An 18,248-nucleotide genomic window follows, 5' to 3' on the forward strand; every position below is an offset into this window, starting at 1 on the left:
GCTCCAATTTTCTTAGACCCCAGACTTGTGTTTAAGGCTCTGAGGGTTATTCCTCTAAGCATTACTTAATTGATTATTTCAGCAATAGAGGCCCAGAAAAGTTAAGAGTTTTCTCTAGGGTCATACACTGGGTCAAAAAGAGAAAGAACCAATATGATGTTAGCAAGAGCTGCACACACTCCTATTGTCAAGTTAGAGAATCTTAGAATCACTAAAAAGAAAAAAGAATCATTGAGAATCAATCACTACAGACTTACCTCAGCCAAAAAAGGGGGAGAAAAAAAAAACAGACTTGCCTGGGCATTGCTGTTTTAAAATTCCCTTCCTTCTTTGCTGTGGAAGTGCCAATAAACAAGGAGGGTGATGCCAGAGAGGGGTGGCAGATGAGCCAGTCCCAGGCAATGCATACCCGAAATAGAACGTTGTTGAATAATTGCCCATGGACAGTGGGAGTTAAGTCTGATTTTCTCACTAGGGAAGAAATTAAATAAGTCGGCTATTTTTCTTATTTTTCACCAGCTTTATTGAGGTATAATTGAATAACGAAAATTGTGCATATACAAGGTGTACAATGTGATGACTTGGCAAATGCATGCATTGTGAAATGATTACCACAAACCAGCTAATTAGCTCACCCATCTCCTCACATAGTTGCCTTTTTGTGAGTGGCTAGAATCTTCAAGATCGATACTCTTAGCACATTTCAAGTGTACAACATAGTATTATTAACTATAGTCACCATGCTGTAACTTAGATCTCCAGAACTTACTCATTTTATAACAGTAAGTGTGTACTCTTTGACCAACATCTCCCCATTCCATCACACCTGTCACACCCCATCCCTGTTCAACATAGCACCACCTAGTCTCTACTTCTATGAGTTCAACTTTTTAAGATTCCACATATAAGTGAGATCCTGTGTTATTTCTCTTTCTGCATCTGGCTTATTTCACTTATCATGTCCTATAGATTCATCTATGTTGTCATAAATGGCAGTACCTCCTTATTTGTTTGTTTGTTTATTTTGAGACAGGGTCTCACTCTGTCGCCCAGGCTAAAATACAGTGGCACAATCGTGGCTCACTGTAGTCTTGACCTCTCTGGGCTCAGGTGAAACCTCCCACCTCAGCCTCCTGAGTAGCTGGGATTACAGGTGCATGCCACCACACCTGGCTAATTTTTATACTTTTGCAGAGATGGGGTTTCACCATGCTCTCCAGGTTGGTCTAGAACTTCTGGTCTCAAGCAATCCACCTGCTTAGGCCTCCCAAAATGCTGGGATTATAGGCATGAGCCACCACACCCAACTAGTTCCTTATTTTTATTTTTATTTATTTATATTTTTTGAGACGGAGTCTCACTCTGTCGCCAAGGCTGGAGTGCAGTGGCGTAATCTCGGCTCATTGCAAGCTCCACCTCCCAGGTTCACACCATTCTCCTGCCTCAGCCTCCCGACTAGCTGGGACTACAGGCGCCCGCTACTACGCCCAGCTAATTTTTTGTATTTTTAGTAGAGACGGGGTTTCACCATGTTAGCCAAGATGGTCTCGATCTCCTGACCTCGTGATCCGCCCGCCTCGGCCTCCCAAAGTGCTGGAATTACAGGCATGAGCCACCGTGCCCAGCCTAGTTCCTTATTTTTATGGCTGAATAATATGCCCTTGTATATATATACTACATGTTTTTAATCCATTTATCCATCACAGACACTTAGGTGGTTCATAATGCTGCAATGAATATGGAAGTGTAGCTACCTCTTTGAGGTATTGATTTCAATTCCTTTGGATATACACCCGGAAATAGGGGTCCTGGATCATATGATAGTTCTATTTTTAATTGTTGAGGGACCTCCACACTCTTCCAAAATGGCTATACCAATTTATATTCCCACCAACAGTGTACAAGGGCACCCTCTTCTCTACACCCTCACAAACACTTGTTATCATTTGACTCTGAAAAAAACTTGTTATAAATTTGACTTTTTGAAAACTAGACTTGTTATCAACATGTTATCATATTGTTGATATCATCTTATCAACTTGTTATCATGTTGACAACAAGTCGAACAGATATGAGCTGGTATCTCATTATGGTTTGGATTTACATTTCACTGATGTTTAGTGAATCTTAGTATATTTTCACATACCTGTTGGCCATTGTATGGCTTTTTTGGAGAAATGTCTGTTAGGCGCTTTGCCCATTTTTCAATTACATTGCTTTGTTCTTTGTTTTGTTATTGAGATGTGTGAGGTCCCTATATGTTCTGAATATTAACCCCTTAACAGATATGTGGTTTGCAAATATTTTCTCTGTAGGTTGCCTTTTCATTTTATTGTTTCCTTTGCTGTGCAGAAGCTTTTTAGTGTGATCTAGTCCCACTTATTTATTTTTTATTTTGTTGCCTATTATTTTGGTGTCATATTCAAATAATCATTGACAACACCAATGTCAAGAAGATTGTTTCTATGTTTTCTTCTAGGAGTGTTACGATTCTGGGTTTTACATTTAAATCATTTTGAGTTAATATTTGTGTGTGATGTAAGATAGGGGTCCATGTGGATATCCATTTTCTCAATACCATTCATTGAAGAGACTGTCGTTTCTCCCATTGTGTATTCTTGGCATTCTTGTCAAAGATTAGTTGACCATATATGCTGGAGTTTATTTATGGGATCTGTATTCTGTTCCATTTATCTATGTGTCTGTTTTTATGCCAGTATTATACTGTTTTGATTACTATAGCTTTATAATATAGTTTCAAATAAGGAAATTTGGTGTCTCCAGCTTTGTTATTCTTACTCAAGACCTCTTTGGCTATTTGGAGTCTTGTGGTTCCATATGAATTTTTTCTATATCTGTGGAAAATGCCATTGAAACTTTGATAGTGATTGCATTTAATTCATAGATCACTTTGGATAGTGTGGATATTTTAACAATATTAATCACTCCAACCCCATGAACATGGGATATGTTTTCTTTGTCTCTAAAATTTCTTTCATCATTGTCTTATAGTTTTCAGTGTACAGATCTCTTACCTACTTGGTTAAACTTCTTCCTACATATTTTGGATTTTTTATGAAATTGTAAATGGGATTATTTTCTTAATTTCTTTTTGGATAGTTGGTTGTTTGTGTATAGAAATGCAACAGATTTTTGTACGTTAATTTTGTATCCTACAATTTTACTGAATTAATTTATTAGTTCTAGCCATTTTCTGGTGGAGTCTTAGGGTTTTCCATATATAAGATCATGTCATCTGCAAACATAGGCAGTTAACCTCTTCCTTTCTGATTTGGGTGCCTTTTATTTCCTTTTCCTAGCTCTGGCTAAAACTTCCAGAACTGTGTTAAATAGTAATGAAAATTATCCTTTCTTGTTCCTAACCTGAGAGGAAAAAGCTTTCAACTTTTCATTATTGAATATGATGTTAGTTATGAGCTTGTGGCATATGGCTTTTATTGTGTTGAGGCACATTTCTTCTGTTCCTCATTTCTGAGAGTTTTTTAAAATCATGAAATGATGTTGAATTTTGCTGAATGTCTTTTCTGCATCTATTGAGATGATCATATGGTTTTTGTCCTTCATTCTCTTAATGTGGTGTATCACATTTGTTGTTGGTCTGCATATGTTGAACTATCCTTATATCCCAGGGAAAAATTCCACTTGATCATTATGTATAATCTTTTTTTTTTTTTTTTTTTTTTTGAGACAGAGTCTCGCTGTGTCATCTAGGCTGGAGTGCAGTGGCATGATCTCGGCTCACTGCAACCTCTGCCTCCAGGGTTCAAGCAGTTCTTTGCCTCAGCCTCCCGAGTAGCTGGGACTATAGGCGCCCACTCCTACACCTGGCTAATTTCTGTATTTTTAGTAGAGATGGGGTTTCACCATCTTGGTCAGACTAGTCTTGAACTCCTGACCTCGTGATCCACCTGCCTCAGCCTCCCAAAGTGCTGGGATTATAGGCGTGAGCCACCATGCTCGCCCTGTATTATCCTTTTAATGTGCTTTGAAGGTGGTTTGTTAGTATTTTCTTGAAGACTTAAAAAATCTACACTCATCAAAAATAGTGACCTGTAATTATCTTTTCTTGTAATGTCCTTATCTGGCTTTGGTATGAGGATAAAGCTGGCAATGTAAAATCAGTTTAGAAGTGTTCTCACCTCTTCAATTTTTGGAAGAATTTGAGAAGAACTGGCAATAATCCTTCTTCAAATGTTTGGTAGAATTCATCTGTGAAACCATTTGGTCCTAGGCTTTTCTTTTCTTCTTCTTTTTTTTTTTTTTTTTTTTTTTTTTTGAGACAGAGTCTCGCTTTGTCGCCCAGGCTGGAGTGCAGTGGCATGATCTCGGCTCACTGCAAGCTCCATCTCCCAGGTTCACGCCATTCTCCCGCCTCAGCCTCCCGAGTAGCTGGGACTACAGGCACCCATCACCACGCTGGGCTAATTTTTTTTTTTTTGTATTTTTAGTAGAGAGGGGGTTTCACCATGTTAGTCAGGATGGTCTCCATCTCCTGACCTTGTGATCCGCCCACCTGGGCCTCCCAAAGTGCTGGGATTACAGGCATGAGCCACTGTGCCCAGCCAGTCTTAGGCTTTTCTTTAATGTGAAACATTTTATTACTGCTTCAGTAATTAAATTTAGTAATAAAATTCTTGTTACTCATTATTGATCTGTTCAGATTTTCTACTGCTATATGCTTCAGCCTTGGTAGGTTGTTTGTGTCTAGAAATTTATCAATTTCTTCTGATTATTCAATTTGTTGATATATACATATTCATTATAATCTCTTATGATCCTTTGTATTTCTGTGGTATCAGTTGTGGTGTCTCCTCTTTTACTTATAATTTCATTTATTTCAGTCCTCTCTTTTTTTCTTGGTGAGTTTAACGAAAGTTTGTTTATTTTGTTTATTTATTTATTTAAGATGGAGTCTCACTCTGTCACCCACCCTGGAGGGCACTGGCATAATCTCAGCTCACTGCAACCTCTGTCTTCTGGGTTCAAGCAATTCTCCCACCTCACCCTCCAAGGAGCTGGAATTACAGGCATGAGCCACCACACCTGGCTAATTTTTGCATTTTTTAGTAGAGACAGGGTTTCACCATGTTGGCCAGGCTGGTCTTGAACTCCTGACCTCAAGTGATCCACCCACCTCAGCCTCCCAAACATTTTGTTTATTTTTAAACATGAATCCAGATGTCCATATTCCTCCCAAGATTTGAGAAGTCTTCAGCCATTATTTCTTTAAATAGGCTTTAATTTCCTTTGTTTCCTCCTCCTAGAAATCCTCAAATGAATATATTCATTTGTTTGATGGTGTCTTGTAGGGCTTGTATACTTTCTTAACTCTTTTTCATTATTTTTTTCTTTCTATTCCTCTAACTGGCTAATTTCAAATGACCTGTGTTTGAGTTCACTGACTCTTCTGCATAATTAAAAAAAAAAAAAAATCTGCTGCTGAAGCTCTCTATTGAATTGCTTAGTTCTGCCGTTGTATTCTTCAGCTCCAGAATTTCTGTTTGATTCTTTTTTCTCCATTAATCTTCTTATTTTATTCATGCATTGTTTTTCTGATTTCATTTAGCTGTCTGTCTGTGTTCTCTTGCATCTCATCAAGCTTCTTTAAAATGAGTGTAGTTGTCCCTCAGTATCCATGGAGGACTAGTTCCAGGACCTCCCATGGATATGAAAATCTGTGGGTGCTGAAGTTTCTGATATAAAATGGCATAGTATTTGTATATAACCTATGCACATCCTCCTGTATACTTTAAATCATCTTAGATTACTTATAATACCTAACACAGTGTAATTCTATGTAAATAGTTGTTATACTGTATTGTTTAGGGAATAATGACAACAAAAAGCCTATCTGTGTGCAGTTGGAGACACGAAAATAGTTTTGATCCATGGTTGACTGAATCCATGGATGCAGAACCCACAGGTACAGAGGCCTGACTTCATTTTGAGTTCTTCATCAGGCAATTTGTAGACCTCCATTTCTTGGGGTCTGCTACTGGAGCTTTATTAGTTTCTTTTGGTAGTGTCGTGTCTGCCTGATTCTTTGTGCTCCATGTAGGCTTGCATTGGTGTTTGCACATTTGAAGGAGCAAACCCTTCTTCTAGTCTTTACAGGCTGGTTTTGGCAGGCAAAGACCTTCTGCTGCCATCCAGACCAATGGGATTGTTTCTGGGATCACAGCTGAGTGGGTTTGGGGCCAGGTTATGTGGCTGTTGCTGGGTCTGCATGGGGTCCATCATTGGTAGGCCTGTTACCAGACATTCAGGTGGGTGATAATTCAGCCTTTGTCCCTGGGCAGATGGAACTGCCTCCAGAAAATTGGGCAGTAGGTCTGGCACTAGGACAGTAATCCACTTCAGAGTGCTCAGTTGGGTCTGCAAACAGTGGGCCTGTTACCATGTGTGTGGATGAGTGTGGCTTCTGCCAGGTCCCTGAGACGTCTCCTATTGGGTCACTGGGAAAGTCTCTGGGTGGGGAGGACTGACTTTAGGCTATGGCTGAGTGGGGCTAGAACTAAGTCACAAGGCTGCTTCAGAGTCTACAGCACAGACTGAGGTCTGCAAGTCTGCCTCCAGGGGTATGGATGGGTATGCCTCTTGCTGGATTCCTTGGTGGGCAGGACTGCCCCAAATCATGGCTTAGCAGAATTGGGGCTGGGTCACAGGTCACTTCATTATCTCCAGTTGGACTGAGGTCCAGGGTCTCAGTTGGGTGTGTCTCCATCTGATGCCCTTGGTGAGCAGAACCATTCTCAAGCCATGGTTGAAAGGAGCTGGAGCTTGTTACGGGGCTATTTCAGGATCAGCAGTCAACCTTCAGTCAGTGGGCATGTTACATGAGGCATGGGTGAGCATGACTCCTCCTAGGGCCTTTGGTGGATCATGTTGGTGGCAGGACCAAGGCCAAATGGGGCTGTAGCTGAGTCCACAGGGGAATAGGCTGTTTCCAGGTGTGTAGCTGGGACCACAGTCAGTGAGCCTGGCCACCTGGGACTGCCATAGTCAGTGAGCCTGCTTTCTCAAAATGGCCCTCCTTGGTCATGGCCTCCACCAGAGTTTTGCAACCTCCTACCTGGATCCCAGAGCTTGCACACAGGCATTTTGTCTGTGGATGGCTGTAAAACTGTTGTTGCTGTAGGGGATACAAGAAAGGGAACTCCTTTTCCACCATCTTGCTAAAGTTACCAGAAAATCAGTTATCACTTTTTTTTTTTTTTGAGACAGAGTCTCGCTCTGTCGCCCAGGCTGGAGTGCAGTGGTGCAATCTCAGCTCACTGCAAGCTCCACCTCCCGGGTTCACGCCATTGTCCTGCCTCAGCCTCCCAAGTAGCTGGGACTACAGGCGCCCGCCACCATGCCCAGCTAATTTTTTTGTATTTTTAGTAGAGGCGGGGTTTGACCGTGTTAGCCAGGATGGTCGCAATCCCCTGACCTCATGATCCACCTGCCTTGGCCTCCCAAAGTGCTGGGATTACAGGCGTGAGCCACTGCGCCCAGCCTCTTTATCACTTTTAATGTCAGAAAATAATGAAAAAATAAATAAATTCAGTTTACTATTCATTTAACAAGTTACTAGCAGAAGTAGAACACTCAGAAAGGAAAGGGTCGAAGACGAGGCCTGAGTGAGGATGTCAGAGGGAGGAAAGAATGGGGGTGGATTGCAGAGGAGAACAGAGTTAAGAGTTGAGGAAGCTCTAAGGGCTCTGAAAGCCAGTGTCACAGCAGTGTGGACAGGAGGATGGGGGTTGGGGATCTTTCCTGTTTGTGAATATAAATTGTGCTTGCTTTTTATTGTTTTTAAATAAGATAGTAGTTAAGCTCTAACTTTTCCTTAGAATGCAGCTTTAGCTGTATTCCATAATTGTATTCTTCTTTCATTAATTTCTAGATACCTTGACATTTGATTTTGATTTTTTCTTTGATCCAGGGTTTACCTAGAAAAGTGTTCAAGTAGTTATTATTATATATTTTTTTTGAGATAACGTCTTGCTCTGTCGCCCATGCTGGAGTGCAGTGGTGCGATCTCAGTTCACTGCAACTTCCACCTCCCTGGTTCAAGCAATTCTCCTGCCTCAGCCTCCCGAGTAGCTGGAATTACAGGTGTGTGCCACCACACCTGGCTAATTTTTGTATATTTAGGAGAGATAGGGTTTTGCCACGTTGACTAGGCTGGTCTTGAACTCCTGGCCTCAGGTGATCCACCTGCTTCAACCTCCCAAAGTGCTGGGATTGCAGGCGTGAGCCACCGCACCTGACTGGAAGTAGTTATTTTTCTGGTCATATTAAGATTTACGGGCCAGGCATTGTGGCTTGTGCCTGTAATCCCAGCACTTTGGGAGGCCAAGGTGGGAGGATCACCTGAGGCCAGGAGTTCAAGACCAGCCTGGCCAACATGGTGAAACCCTGTCTCTAATAAAAATACAAAAAAAATTAGCCAGAGGTGGTGGTGGTGCATGCCTGTAATCCCAGCTACTGGGGAGGCTGAGGCATGAGAATTCCTTGAACCCGGGAGGCAGAGGTTGCAGTGAGCAGAGATCATGCCACTGCACTCCAGCCTGGGTGACAGGGCAAGACCCTGTCTCAACAACAACAACAAAAAGATTTATGGAATTATGGTCAGCAAAAACAGTTTGTAAAGTTTCTACTTTGGGGATTTTAATAAGGCTTACTTCGTTGTTAAGTACATGATTGATTATTAAAAATGTGCTATAAGAAAAACTTGATACTATGTGTATGAACCAAGGTTATCAGTCTGCCTAATTAGACCAAGCTGAGGGATTGTGTCCTTCAGAACGAAATGTTTGCAGATATTTTTTCTGACTTGCTCTTTCAATTTCTGAAAGCTGCATTTAATGTTCCCACAGTGGCTATTCATCCTGGGAGCTGCTGCTCTACACATCTATCTGCCAAGCTTGGTGTGGACTAGTTGTGGCTTCCATGACTTTTCATGGCCTTTTATCAAAACATGGACCCCTTCATTATCTCTGAATATTTCTGACCTTACTATTTCTGATTAACTAACAGTAACCCACCTCTTGTTGTTGTTGTTTGTTGTTGTTGTTGTTGTTGTATTTTTAATCAATCTTTTTGGCCTCAGGCAAGTGACAAAAATTCTTCCTTGGCCAAACTCTAAACAGTCTCTTTTGAGCCCCTTCTCAACCAGGCCCCAATAAACTCTAACATAGTTTCTAATAGCTCACAGCTATATCCCTAGCACCCATAATGTGCCTGCCTAGGAAAACTCAAGGCTGCCAAAAGAATTTAGTTTATTCCAGCCAACACCTGAAGGTAGGGCCTTCAAGCAGGGTCTCCCAGCCTCTGTGGGCAGACAGGAGCCTAATCTTGATATGTGTCAGTTAGTTAGCAAATCCACATGGGTTTCACATGGACCAGAGCCGCCTTCCCAGCTCTCTGTAATTTTTTACTTCCCTGGCTCCACTGAGCCCCTACTCACCCACTCCCTAGTCCCTCATCCTCCCTTTAAAATGCCTGGTCACTTCTGTTCAGATTGATGCGTTCATGCTGGATTTTCTCCTATTACCAATAGTTACTAATTGAGGCCGGGTGCGGTGGCTCATGCCTGTAATCCCAGCACTCTGGGAGGCCGAGGCAGGTGGATCACCTGAGGTCAGGTGTTTGAGACCAGCCTGGCCAACATGGTGAAACCCCGTCTCTACTAAAAATTCAAAAATTAGCTGGGTGTGGTGGCGTACACCTGTAATCCCAGCTACTTGGGAGGCTGAGGCTGGAGAATCCCTTGAACCTAGGAGGCGGAGGTTGCAGTGAGCCAAGATTGTGTCACTGCATTCCAGCCTGGCCTGGGCGACAGAGTAAGACTCTGTCTCGAAAAAAAAAAAAAAAAAAGTTACTGATTCTGATTGAAACGTGTCCTCACCACTCTAGTGTCTGGCTTTGGCAGATGGTCACCTGGCATTTGGCAGTGGAACTCACGGAAGGATTAACTTCTGACAGAGCACCAGCACCCAACATGCACCCCATTTCATCCCGTATCAGTATTGGTGTCCTACTTTTTAATCCAAATGAAAACTAATGCAGACATTTTTACTTGGTGTAAGAGAAGTCGCCTTCAAAAGTTCAATAATTTAACTTCATGGTAGGAGGGAAGTGCAGGAAAAGTGTTTTACTTTTCTTCTGCACATGTGAATTCATGCGCACGGTCACCAAGACCTGTGACCACAAAGCCTTGTGTGAGGGCTTTATTACTTGGCTGCACTTGAAGCCAAGTTAGGGGGAGAAAGGAGGGGCTTCCGGTGAAACACGAAACTTTGTTCCCCTGACTTCCATCTGTGGACATAGATTGTGAGAAGAAAATCAACTTGAGTTCGAGAAAAGCAAAACAGTATCAAAAAACAAATCAAAACAAAGGTAAATAAAGGTAAGACGCAGAGAACAAGAAAAGCAGATAGGATCACGCTGGCACCGCAAGAACACACAAAGATGGTAACTGCAACCATCGAGCCCACACTCGGCTAAGTCAGGTAAGGTGGCAGGTTAATGTTTGGTGCACAAGAATGTTCACTATGACATTAGAAGAGCAACAGTTTAGAAACAGCCTAAATGCTAAAAAATTTAGAGGTGGAGAATTTTATTTACCAGAAATTCACAATGAGGATTTTTAGAAAGAAAACCAGTGAACAAATAATTGCACTCCTTGGGGTAGAAGAGAAACTTGTGTGCGTGTGTCTGTGTGTGTGTGGTGTGTGGTGTGTGATGTGTGGGTGGTGTGTGTAGGGTTTGTCTGGTGTGTGTGTGTTGTGTGGTTTGTGTGTGTGTGGTATATGTGCTGTGTATGTGCATTTGTGTATATGATGTGTTTGGTTTGTGTGTGGAATGTATGTATATATGTATGTTTGTGTGATGTGTGTTTTTGTGTGAGGTGTGTATGGTGTGTATGTGTTTGTGTGTGGTGTGTGTGTGTGAGGTGTGTGTTTGGTGTTTGTGGAGTGTATGTATGTGATATGTGTGTGGAGTGTATGTGTATGGTGTGTGTGATGTGTGTAGTATGTGAGGTGTGTGTGTGGTGCATGTTTGCGGTGTGTGGTGTGTGATGTGTGTGGTGTATGTGTGTGGTATGTGAGGTGTGTGTGTGGTGTTTGTGGTATGTGTGAGGTTGTGTGAGGTGTGTGGTGTATGTGTGGATGGTGTGTGAGTTGTGTATGTGATGTGTGGTGTTTCTGGAGTGTTTGTGTGTGTGCACATGTGTGTGCTGTATGTGTGGTGTGTGTGTGTAATTTGTGTGCGAGGTGTGCAAGGTGTGTGTGTTATCTGTGATGTGTATGTGGCGTGTGTGATATGTGAGCGGTGTGTATGGTATGTGTGAAATGTGTGGTGTGTATATGTTATGTATGTGTCTCTGGTATATGAGGTGTGTGTGTGTAGTGTGTGTGTGGTGTGGGTTGATGTGGTGTGTATGTGTGTGGTGTGTGCAAGATGTGTGTGGTGTGTGTGGTGTGTGTGTATAAGTGTGCATGTGAATGTGTATATGGTGTGTGTGTGAATGTGTGTGGTGTTTGCAGAATACGTGTCTGTGTGTGGTGTATGTGTGTATGAGTCTGTATGGTGCTGAAGGTGTGTGTGGTGTGTAAGTGTGTGTGGTGTGTGTGGAATGTGTGTGGGGGTGTGGGTGTGTGCAGTGTGTATGAGTGTGTGGTGTGTGTGGTGTATGTGTGGTGTGTGTGTATGAGTGTGTGTGGTGTGTGTGGAACGTGTGTGTGGGTGTGGGTGTGTGTGGTGTATGTGTATGTGTGGTGTGTATGTGTATGGGTATGTGTGGAATATGTGTGGGTTGTGTGTGTGGTGTATGTGTATGGGTGTGTGTGTGGTATGTGTGGTGTCTGTGTGGAATGTGTGTGGTGTGTATGTGTATGGGTATGTGTGGAATGTGTGTGGGGTGTGTGTGTGGTGTATGTGTATGGGTGTGTGTGTGGTATGTGTGGTGTGTGTGAAATTGTGTGTGTGGTGTATGTGTATGAGTATCTGTGTATGTGTGTGGGGACAATTATTTATGGAGCACCTACGCTCTTCACCAGCAGTGAACACAAGAGAGGGGGAAACCCTGCTCTGGGGACGTCACCTCCCATGATGCCATTCGCAGTTGGGGACCAACTTCCTCCATTTGTGGCTTTCACTCTGAGAATGCCTCAACACGCAGGTTTCTCCACCGATTGGTATTTACACCCCCCACTTTAAACTGCTTTCCTGCCCTTTTTTCTGGCTGTGACTAGAATTATTTTTAGGGAAAAGAGAGAAGGATCTGGATGAATGAATTAATTAGAATTCATTTTCTAGTGGCATTTCTCCCAGTTCCTTCATTTCTGCTTGAAGGACAATTAAGGGTTCCGGTGTGGCTAATCATGTGGATTAAGAGTGGCTTCTTGTCTCCCATACAAATCCAAATGACTCACCACCAGTCATTTTTCCCGCTTTCTATGATCCTGAGATCCTAACTTCACTAACTGGGAAGTTACAGTTTTCAGAGATGCATTTTTTTTTTAAATAATGAGAGTGACTTTCTCAGTTTTATGTTACACTCTCTTGGCAAATAAGCTGCCTGTGCTGCTGTAGCCTGCACATTTTTGTTTGCAGTTAAAGAGGATGAAGAAGCCATCACCGGGTTCAGGTGCAGACACCTTTTTAGATGATTCTTAGTTACAGTGATTTTTAGAGGCACAGTTGATGACTAGTGGAAAGGCTTTCCGACCAGACTCTTTAAACTACCCACTCAGGCCAAGGAATCCCCCTCACCAGCTGCGTTTTCCTCAGGGAACTGAGCTTCCCAACCCTGTAGAATGTACTTCCCTTCCCTTCATGTGTCTGTTTGGTTCTCTGCCCCATCCCTGTGCCCAGAATAGCACCAGGCCTCCAGCAGACTGAGATCTCCATCTGTGGTCCAGGTTAATCTAATAATCTCACATCGGATCAGTTTGACCATCGGGATTTCTGTGGTCTAGTCTCTAATACCGCATGTCTGCATTTGGGATAGAGCATTTCACCCACAATTTAACCAAAAAATGCTGTTCCAAATAATCGTGTTGGCCACAGTATATTAAACACGCAGCTTTCCTAATAAGCACTTTAGTTTTCTTGCACATACAAGGAAGAGATTGGGTTTTTATATAGACTAGGTTATTTCAGCAAAAAAAAAAAAAAAAAATCCCGAAGGGATAATCAAGTTAATACAATTTGTTAAAAGGGAACACTACATGTGCAATGAGTTTGCATATTTATAGAACCCACATAATAAAGCCAGCTTTTACCAGATCACTTTCCCTTGTAAACATGGTCAATTGTATCTTGTAGGAAAGAAATGTAACAGTTATGTTAAACTAATGAAGTTCACATTGAAAACTATTTTAGGTAACTAGAAGTTTACTCTTACTGCATAATAACTAAAACTCGAAGAAAATTTACCTGAAATTAAAAAAGAAAAGCGTTGCTCGCTTTTATGGGACCACTTGCCTTAGAGAGGGAGCCCCCACAACACGTGAGTCTCCTCCCACCCCGTCCATGGACCTCCGTGCCAGCAGAGAGCAGCTCTTATATATGAATATGTGTAGTGTGTATGGAACGTGGTGTGTGTATAGTATATGTGTATATGAGTGTGTATCTGTGTGTGGGAACAATTATTTATGGAGCGCCTCTCTGTGCTGGGGACCAGCAGTGAACACAAGAGGGAGAAACCCTGCCTTAGGGACCTCACCTCCCACGATGCCACCTTCGCAGGTGGGGACTGACTTTCTCCATCTGTGGCTTTCACGTACCTCGACACACACATTTGTCCAGGGACTGGTATTTATGCTACCCCCCCCCCCCCTTCTTAAACTGAAGGACCTTTTTCTGGCTGTGAACTAAAATTACTTTTAGGGAAAAAAGAAAGAGAACCCTTGTGAACATGGTCAATTGTATTTTGTAGGAGAGAAACGTAACATTTATGTTAAGCGAATGAAGTTCACATTGAAAACTATTTTAGGTAACTAGAAGTTTACTCTTACTGCGTTATTAAAACTTGAAGAAAATTTACCTGAAATTATAAAAAAATTAAATTTTTGAAATTAAAAAATATTTTTTAAAAAATTAAACTTCAATTTTAAAGTTAAATTAAAATTTAAATATTTTTAATTTTAAAATTAAAAATTCAGAGCCCGCGAGCACAGCAGACAGGCACCAGCTCCCAAGCAAGAACAGCAGCGAATCAACATTTACTCCGAAAAAAAAAAAAAAAAAAACCCTTTCAGAACAGTTTGTGCTCCTGTTCAGCCCAGGAGACGTCGTTCCTGCTTTTACGCGGCGCCATGTCCTTCTTGGCGTACACTTGGCAAAACAGAATGAGAACTGTAGGTCGATAGAGAGACCTCCCTCCCTCTCGCCGGACCCCTCCCTCTCGCCGGACCCCTCCCTCTCGCCGGACCCCTCCCTCTCGCCGGACCCCTCCCTCTCGCCGGACCCAACTGGGTAGGGCGAGGAGCCAGGGGTGGGCGGGGAGGCGCCTGCGGGGAGGTCTGGAGCACGCCCGAGGCCAGGAGGAGGCGGAGCCGTAGCGAGCGTATGAAGGGAGGACCTGAGCTAAGGACCCGCGCCCGCCCGGGGGTTCCAGCATGCGGGGGAGTGGTCCCAGAGGAAGACAGGTCATTCCAGGGCCCCTAACCTTTTCTGCACCTTGGACCCATTTGGACTTGGGTCTCTTCTCAGGGTATAATTTCATAACACAAAAAATAAAACACAAACTTCAAAGATAACATCTAATATTAAAATTATCAAAATATTTAAAAAATAACATTGGGATGTGTTATCATTTGTGTGCTTCTGTATTAACTCAATAACAAGATTTTGCAGCGGGCCCAATAATGTGTGTTATTGTCAAGCAGTGATGAGCGAAATAGAATTTCTAGTATCGGCCACAACTGCAAAGTGACATGAAAATAACCAGTGTTTAGTGGCGACCAGCCACCCATAATAGCAATACGTCTCTGGGTTTTTTCCCTATGTGTATAATAAGGGAAATGCTACATCGCAGTTCTGAATGAAATGTAGGTTAGTGATTTTTTTTTTCCCAACCCAAGTTCCCAGGCAGAACTATGAGGGTCTTGGCAGAACCGTGGGGGTCTTGGGCTCTGCGACTGAGGAAAGATAGAGTCTTCAGGTGAAGGAAGAGCTCTGCCTCCAAAGAAAGAGTGCAGCCACTGGGAATCACAAGCTGCAGAGGAACGCAGGTACCAGATGTCCTGGTGTGCCCACGATGGAGGCGGCAGGCTTTCGCCCTTTATCTAATGCTATGAGCGTGGGCCTCATCAGCTGCCACAGCTGCGCTCTGGCTGAGGCATCACTCAGCAAATACTGCTTTCTCAGGAAGACCTATTCTGTTTTTTGTTTTTGTTTTTTGTTTTGTTTTGTTTTGTTTTTTACAGTATTTCCTGTTTAATAACCTGCCTCCAGAGAGTAGGGATGGTGTTCCCCAGCTTGTTCACCACTGAACCCAGCCTGTGCCCAAGAAGCATTTGTTGAATGGCTGTGTGGACAAATAAATAAATGAAGGGCATTTGATGAGAATTCATAAACTATTCATAGAACTTTCTCTGTGACTGCAATCCTTTCATCTAAGTAATGTTTTCCTCAGATATTCTTAAAAGTACATGGCTCTCATTCCACACCCACTGAGATGGCTATATATACAGTACATAAGGCAGATAATAACCAGTGCTGGTGAGGATGTGAAGAAACTGGAGGCCTCATTCATTGCTGGTGGGAAGGTGAAATGGTGCAGCCACTATGGAAAATAGTTTGGAAGTTTCTTAAAAAGATAACAAATGCCGGGTGTGGTGGCCCATGCCTGTAATCCCAGCACTTTGGGAGGCAGAGGTGGGAGAATTCCTTGAGCTTAGCAATTTGAGATGAGCCTGGGCAACATGGTGAAATCCCATCTCCACAAAAAAAAAAAAAAAAAAAAAATTAGCCAGGCATGGTGGCATGGGCCCGTAGTGCCAGCTACTCAGGAGGCTGAAGCAGGAAGATCCCTTGAGCACAGGAGATTGAGGGTACAGAGAGCTGTGTTTGCACCACTGCACTCCAGCCTGGGTGAGAGAGTGAGACCCTGTTTCAAAAACAAAAATCAACGATTTACTATACGACTCAGTGATTTCACTCCTAGGAATCGACCCAAGAGAAGTGAAAACATATGTCCACACATGAATGTATGCAAATGTTCACAGTAACATTATTCACAATAGCCCCAAACTAGAAAAATTCAAATGTCCATGGATGGATGAATGGATGAACAGTGTGGTATATCTTTACAATGGAATACTATGCAGCAAAAAAAAAGGACTTTTTTTTTTGAGATGGAGTCTCGCTCTGTACACCATGGATGAAACTTGAAAACTTTCTGCTCAGTGAAAGAAGCCAGAGGCAAATACTACATATTCTATGGTTCCATTAATATGAAATGTCCAGAAAAGGCAAATCCATAGAGACAGGAAGCAGAACAGGTTGCCTGGGGCTGACAAGCATGAGGGACCCTTGCAGGATAATGGAAATGCTCTGAAATTAGACTGGGGAGAAGGCTGCACACTCTGCAAATGGACTAAAAAATCACTGAATTGACACCTAGAATGAGTGAATTTTACGCAAGTAAATTATTGAGAGGCGAAGCCAGCTGGACTTGAGTTGAGTGGAGACTTGGAGAACTTTTCTTACAAGAGAATTGTAACATGCACCAATCAGCGCTCTGTAAAAATGCACCAATCAGTGCTCTGTACCTAGCAAGGGGATTGTAAAATGATGCACCAATCAGCACTCTGTAAAAACGCACCAATCAGTGCTCTAGCTAGCAAGAAGATTGTAAAATGCACCAATCAGCACTCTGTAAAACACACCAATCAGCGCTCTGTAAAATGCACCAATCACTGCTCTGTAAAATGCACCAATCAGCAGGATTCTAAAAGTAGCCAATCGTGCAGAAGACTGAAAAAAAGGCACTCTGATAGGACAGAAAGGGAACATGAGAGGGGGGCAAATATGGGAATAAAAGCTGGCCATCTCCTAGCCAGCAGCGGCAACCGCTCGGGTCCCCTTCCACACTATGGAAGCTTTGTTCTTTCGTTGTTCACAATAAACCTTGCCGCTTCTCACTGTCTGGGCCCGTACCATCTTTAAGAGCTGGAAAAACTCACCGCGAAAGTCGGTGGCTTCATCCTTGAAGTCAGCGAGACCACGAACCCACCGGCAGGAACCAACTCCAGACACATTATGCCACAACAAAGCTGTTAAAATATGAAGTGGGGACTCAGTCTTCTGTAACACAACCAGGGGACACTAACTGAGCCCCAAGATTTCTACCTGAAGGGACCAGAAGAGCCTGCCGTGGGGCCTGGAACTCATTGCTAAAAAATGTTGTGGGTCTCCCAGGGTAAGAAGTGTGAGGTCGCAGCACATAAGAAAAGTCAAACGAGGCAACAGCCAGATTTCAAGAGCACCGCAGGTCCGTGCACCCATCTGTTCCCACCCTGTCGGTCCATCTGACACTGGCCCGTGTTAGTTCCGTGCTGTGGCTGCAGTATCCCTTTGCATTATTTATGGGAAAAGCTTTGCCAAGCAAGTTGAGAATAGAAATAATAGAAGCAGGAGGATGCTTCGGGAACACTAATAATATTCCAGGCAATCCGCATGTTAGTCTTTGGCTCCTGTAGCCTAATTTGAATTATTTTGTGTATCTGAAAGTAATGGTGAATTTTCTGAACAAAATGCTATGGTTCCACATTCTTATTAGTTTACACTGGCTTTCCCCCAAAACAGGTGGCTTTAGTGCAGTTTTCCTGTAAAGACACCACCGTGGTGAGGAGACAATCAAAATGCAGTTAAAAAAAAAAAAAAAGAGAGACAAAAAGATGATTTTTCAAAACTAGGAAAAGAAAAGCCATATTAGACAGCTAGTGGAATGTAGAAAAATGCTTGTGCGGATAAGGCAATAAGGATGGAAAGGCGGCCTTGTCAGATACCGTACAGGAGCAGGCAGTGCCATGGAGAGAACACAGAGCTGGCACCAATGGGCAGGAGGAGCTGGAGAAGCCACTGCCTCCCTGCCTCCTGGATTCCCTCCACCTGTCTGGACCCCTCTCCCTTCCCAGACACCGCCTCCACTTTGACTCATCAAGTATCGTTCACGTAGGCACCCCAGTCCATCTGGAGTTAGCCCCTGGTGGACTGCAGCAATG

The 18,248-nt window shown here is 43.0% G+C and overlaps 1 annotated feature.

The window, feature by feature from the left end:
* Positions 14,528–14,577: a silencer, noted in NCBI's record as "silent region_20027". NCBI's record gives its function as "represses an Ori minimal core promoter by ATAC-STARR-seq in GM12878 lymphoblastoid cells {active_cell/tissue: GM12878}" and the evidence as "EXISTENCE:reporter gene assay evidence [ECO:0000049][PMID:35858748]".

Source organism: Homo sapiens, chromosome 9, assembly GCF_000001405.40.
Source record: "Homo sapiens chromosome 9, GRCh38.p14 Primary Assembly".
Taxonomy (NCBI): Eukaryota; Metazoa; Chordata; class Mammalia; order Primates; family Hominidae; genus Homo; species Homo sapiens.